Here is a 6,000-nt window from a genome sequence, read left to right as displayed (position 1 = left end):
CAGTGCTTCTGATAAAATAGCCCCCAGAGAGATTGCGTGCCTGTTTCGCCACATGAGGACAGTGAGAGGACAGCTGTCTGTGACACGGGATGCAGGCCCCCGCCAGACCCTGAATCTGCCAGCACCTTGATCTTGGACTTTTAGCTTTCAGATCTGTGAGCTATCTATGTCTTTTGTTTATAACCCTCCCAGTGTACAGTACTTTGTCACAGCAGTCTTAACGAACCAGACTCCCGGTCAGAAGGTGTGGTCTTAACCAGACTTTTCAGAAGGCATTTTGAGAACTCTGAAAGCTGATCTTTTTGGCTCCCTACTTATGTGGGGGTGGTAAAAGAGGGGTAAGGTGTGTTTCCCCAGAGAGTCGGGCAGCATTTCTCTTTGTTGCTTGACAATGGATTCCCATTTATTCAGAGAGGATTATATGGGTGTGTCTTAGTCTGTTTCCTGTTGTGTAACAGAATAGCCGAGACTGAGTGACTCATAAAAAACAGAAAGTTGTTTGGCTCAGTCTTGGAGTCTTGAAAGTCCCAGATCACAGGCCCCACATCTGGTGAGGACATTTGTGCTGTGTCATCCCATGGCAGAAGGCAGGGGGCACGAGCGCAGGGGTAAGAGGATGAGAGACAAGAGAGGGCTGAAATGACTTTTGCAATAAACCCACTCTCACGATAATGGACCCGTTTTCGCAATAATAAGGTCAGTGCTTCATGACAGCAGGGCCGTTATGACCTAGTGACCTCTTAGAGGGCACGTCTTTACACTGTTGCACTGGGGATTATACTTTCAACACATGGACTTTGGGGGACACATTCAAACCACAGCAAGGTATTTGGCATTTTATCGCCATGCAATGTTAACATTTCTCTCATAACCCTGGGTTAGCCTTTCCTCGTGAATTGCAGCATCCTTGCTGAACTCTTGTTCTGTATGGTTAAATCTCCTATCAGAGTTTTGGGGCTGTATCCAACTCTTTGTAGTTTTGCTGTAAATAATGACTTTTCTTTCTGTCCAGCAAAATGTTTTAAAACAAGATGATACTTGATATGGAATGGCTCAAACATCCTTTATTCCTCTGATAAATAACTCACTTGGTGTGAATAATTCAGGCAATTGCTCTGATCACAATTGTTCTGAAGAAACTAAAACTGAGGAGTGAGATGGAGAGACACAGTAGGGACTGGGGAGCTACTTCAATGAGAGTGACACAGGGACAAAGACATCACCAAGAAGGTGGGAAGAAATTCTTTATCCCCTCATCATCCTATCTGGTGGTCCCCACTAGAGAAAACCCGCCAGGATTTCTTTCAGTGCAGCTAAAAAGGTGATGCTGGTGGCTGAGACTAGCTCTGAGAGGAGAACAAGCTTGCTCAGTTCTTTAAGGCCTCAGTTTTTAGCTGGCGGGTGGACTGAACGTTAGACAAATTTTTAACCTGTTGAATTGTGGACTCCAGGCAGTTCACATCAATGAAGACAGAATTTTCTTGTGACTTGATACGGAACATCTCTATTTAGTGCAAAAGCTTTAGCAATGGAATATAAAGGATATTCTCATCAAATTTATAGCAAACACAATGTTGAGATAAATGTAACCACATGGACTCATAGAATCAGACAGAGTTCTGACCTTGACCAGCCAGAGGGATGAGTTGAAAGTAAGATAAATTATAATTGTATGTTTCATAATTGGCTGTAAAATACGGATGGCACAAATACAGGTTGCAAGAAGCACAGTATAATAGAAACATTAAAGAAAACATGAGTTAGGTGTTTTATGTAGCAGAAGTTCCTTATTAGTTGAGAATGTAATTTGAATGATGTGGTTTTTTGGCCTGGACGGTAGAAGCTAAAGAGTATGCAGGGAAGGGCATCAGCTTCATCTAGGGAGATCATAGAAGGAGTCATAAAGGATGTGTGACTGGAGGAGGTGCATTTTAGATAAGTAAGAAGTCATTAAACTGCTGAAAACTAGGTGGGATAGAGAAAGCTGTTCCAGAAAGAGGCAATGGCTGAAAGAAAGGCAAGAATACAGACATTTATCCATGATTTCAGACAATTTTTTCTCACCAAAAGGATTCAAGAAAACAAGATCGAGACCATCCTGGCTAACACGGTGAAACCCCGTCTCTACTAAAAAAATGCAAAAAATTTAGCCGGGCGTGGTGGCGGGCGCCTGTAGTCCCAGCTACTCGGGAGGCTGAGGCAGGAGAATGGCGTGAACCTGGGAGGTGGAGCTTGCACTGAGCCGAGATCGCGCCACTGCACTCCGGCCTGGGCAAAAGAGCGAGACTCCGTCTCAAAAAAAGAAAAAAAAAAAAAAAAAGAAAACAAGACAATGAGAATCAAAAAACGAAACGGTCCTTGGTACAGGAGACAAAGATAATGAAAGTAGGAGTAGGTCTTCCTAAGAAATGTTGTTACGTGTGTGCTTGGGACCAGGTGTCAGGCTTTGTTCAATAAATTTTCAGTGAGGTATTGTTATGGGATTTATGATGAAAGGAATGGTGAGGAAGCTAACTTAGGTACTCTGGGAAAATTAGTGTTTAGATTCACTAGCCTAATGATAGTTTTATACCTTGTAAAATAAGTCTGGTGCCATTATCAAAGACATATTTGCATGCTTTTTTTGAACTTTTATTTTAAGTTCAGGGGTACGTGTTCAGGATGTCCAGGTTTGTTACACAGGTAAACCTGTGTCATGCGGGTTTGTTGTACTGATTGTTTCATCACCCAGGTATTAAGCCCAGTACCCATTAGTTATTTTTCTTGATCCTCTCCCTCCTCCCACCCTCCACCCACTGATAGGCCCCAGTGTGTGTTGTTGCCCCGTATGTGTTCTCATCATTTAGCTCCCACTTATAAGTGAGAACATACAGTATTTGGTTTTCTGTTCCTGTGTTAGTTTGCTAAGGATAACAGCCACTATCTCCATCCATATTCCTGCAAAGCATGTGATCTAATTCTTTTTTATGGCTGCATAGTATTCCATGGTGTACATGCACCACATCCTCTTTATCCAGTCCATCACTGATGGGCATTTGGGTTGATTTCATGTCCTTGCTATTGTGAATAGTGCTGCAATGAACATACACAAGCATGCATCTTTATAATATAAGAATTTATATTCCTTTGGGTATATGCCCACTAATGGGATTGCTAGGTTGAATGGCACTTCTGACTTTAGGTCTTTTGGGGAATCACCAGACTGTCTTTCACAATGGCTGATCTAATCTATACTCCCACCAACCGTGTATAAGCGTTCATTCCTCTCCACAACCTTGCCAGCATCTGTCATTTTTTTGACTTTTTAATAATAGCCATTCTAACTGGTGTGAGATGGTGTCTCCTTGTGGTTTTGATTTGCATTTCTCTAATGATCTGTGATGTTGAGCATTTTTCATATTTGTTGGCTGCATGTTTGCCTCCTCTTGAGAAGTGTCTGTTCATGTCCTTTGCCCACTTTTTATTGGGGTTGTTTGTTTCATTCGTGTAAATTTGTTTAAGTTCCTTATAGATGCTGGATATTAGACCTTTGTCAGATGCATGGTTTGTAAAAATCTCTCATTTTGTAGGTTGTCTGTTTACTCTGTTGATAGTTTCTTTTGGCATTTTAAATTTTTTAACTTAGAAATCAAGTGTGTACAACACTGAAGAGAAAATTCAAACTCCTCTAGCATGCAAATCTTTCTGTACGATTTTCCTGTAAGACAGGCCTGCAGAGACATGGAAGAATCAGAACAAAGTCAATGGATTGATTTCAACTTCATGTTGAAATTATAGGCAGCTGTAATCTCTGCCCTGCCCATCTTGTATTGATGGAAATAAAGAACGTGGCAGCCTTGTCTCCTACTGGGCTCTCAGTCAGGAAATGGAAGGAAAGGCAGAGTCAGATTAGCTGAGCTGTGGGTGGTGATGGATCTGAAGCAAAGCCATTCCGTGAGGCTGAATGATGGACATGTCATGCCGATGCTGGGATTTGGCACTTATGCTCCTGATCATGTAAGTGGACCCCAGGAGGCTGAAGGGTCTTATATTTTTTTGCACTAAGAGGATGATAAGCTGTTGACTCTGAGAGTTTGGAGGTTAATTTTTTGGATAATTCTTTTTATTATTATTATTGTGACCTAACATATATCAAATGGTTTCATGTATTGTATTTTCCATGCATTATCTTATTTAATTCTTCAACAACCGTCCTTGGTAAGTACTCACTACTTCTTACATTAAAAAAAAAAAAAAAAAAACCCATGCTCAGGCTGCTCTCATCTTCCACCTGCTCAGAGCCGCTCCACTCCTGGTTAGAAATGTGAAGGGCCAAGGGCCTAGGGGGAAGTGGAAACCAACATGAATACTTGCTGGCAGCTTTGCTGTGAGGTTGTTGGGGCTGGAAGTATTTGCCAGGGAGTTTCGACCATCCAAACCTTTTGTCACGTAAGAAGCCACTGTGATTCAGAACATTAGGTAATTCGATGGGAAGACTTAGGGGGCACAACATCACAGTAAGGACTGAAATACAGCCATCCACTCAGTTCATGGCAGAGAACTTGAAGTGTCACACTCTGGTCACGGTAACGTAAGGGCAGCTTTGGGGTTGCTTTGGAGGGATTGCCCCCAAAATGAGAGACCAATGGATGGGCTCAATCTTGGTAGAACTCTGTCATGAGATATCACGAGATAACAGCTGCCAGAAAGGGTCAGTAGGTTTTCAATGACATAATTATCCATTTCATCCATTAGGCATAATGTGTGTCTTACATATGTTATATGTAATGTTTATTACTCTTAGAAAAGACAGAAAAAAGTGCCATAGAGAATAGAACAAAATTCCCCATAACCCCCTCATTTACCATAATAAATTGTAATACGTGCACGTGCTTAATATTCAGACATTTCAAATGCACTAAGTGAAAAAGAAGCTTCCTTAATACTCTAATTGGTGTTTTTACCTTAAGTCACTGCAGGAACGAGAAGCTTTTTTCCTGCGTGTGTGTTGTGCTGTCTTTTGTCCTGCTGTTCTAGGAAGCTTGCTAGGGCAGAATCTCAGATGTAGTCATTAGACTATCCACTGTTTGAAATTTGAGGCAGAGCGTGTACATATTATCATCCTAACGTTGCAACGCCAGCTTGGTGAGGTGACGTCTGTGTCCTGGGTAAAACCAGGCCAACTATTGACTGCAACCCTTACTAATAACATAAACAGTTGATTAACACCTATTTTGCATGTTATATGTATGGTATACTGTATTCTTATAATACAGCAAGCTAGAGAAAAGTAAGCTAGAGAAAAGAAACTCAAGAAAATCATAAGGAAGAGACAATATATTTGCTACTCATTAAGTGGAAGTAGATCATTACAAAGGTCTTCATCCTTGTCTTCTTCACACTGTGTAGGCTGAGGAGAAGGAGGAAGATGAAGGGTTGGGGTTGCTGTCTCTGGGGTGGCAGAGGCAGAAGAGGTGAAGGAGGGGGAAGGGAGGCAGGAGAAGTAGGCACACTTTGTAATTTTGATTGAAAAAAATTCATGTATAAGTGGGACTGTGCAGTTTAAACCTGTGTTATTCAAGGGTCAGCTGTAATATGTATGTAGTGTGTGTGTGTGTGTGTGTGTGTGTGTGTCGATTGACCTGTCCTTCCTATTGAGTGCCTTAGAAAAATTCTCCCAGTATCAGAAGTTTTCCCGTTGGTTATTCTTGTACAATTGATTCATATGGAATGAGATGTGATTTTTCCATGCTCCAGGGTGAAGCCAATTCCACTAATTTATTTGGGAGTAGAAGCTTACAGGAGGTTAGTTGCTGTCCTCGGAGTGTGCAAGTCTATCATGGAAACCCAAATGATCAAAAGGGGAGCAGGAGGCCAGCAGACTATGAAGATGCTATTGGATAGCAGAGACATGGGCTCAACCTAAATGCCCGTCCGTGGTAGACCAGATAAAGAAAATGTGGTACATAAACACCGTGGAATACTGTGAAGCCACAAAAAAGAACTAGATCACGTCCTTTG

At 41.7% G+C, this 6,000-nt stretch overlaps 1 annotated feature.

Annotated features, from left to right (window-relative positions):
- Positions 18-1,217: an enhancer, noted in NCBI's record as "P300/CBP strongly-dependent group 1 enhancer chr10:5333150-5334349 (GRCh37/hg19 assembly coordinates)". NCBI's record gives its function as "activates an origin of replication core promoter dependent on BRD2, BRD4, P300/CBP, MED14 and CDK7 cofactors, with strong dependence on P300/CBP, by STARR-seq in HCT116 cells {active_cell/tissue: HCT116}" and the evidence as "EXISTENCE:reporter gene assay evidence [ECO:0000049][PMID:35650434]".

The sequence above is a fragment of the Homo sapiens genome, chromosome 10 (assembly GCF_000001405.40).
Source record: "Homo sapiens chromosome 10, GRCh38.p14 Primary Assembly".
NCBI lineage: Eukaryota > Metazoa > Chordata > Mammalia > Primates > Hominidae > Homo > Homo sapiens.
The sequence above is the reverse complement of the archived record's forward strand: the minus strand, read 5'-3'. Positions and strand labels throughout refer to the sequence as shown.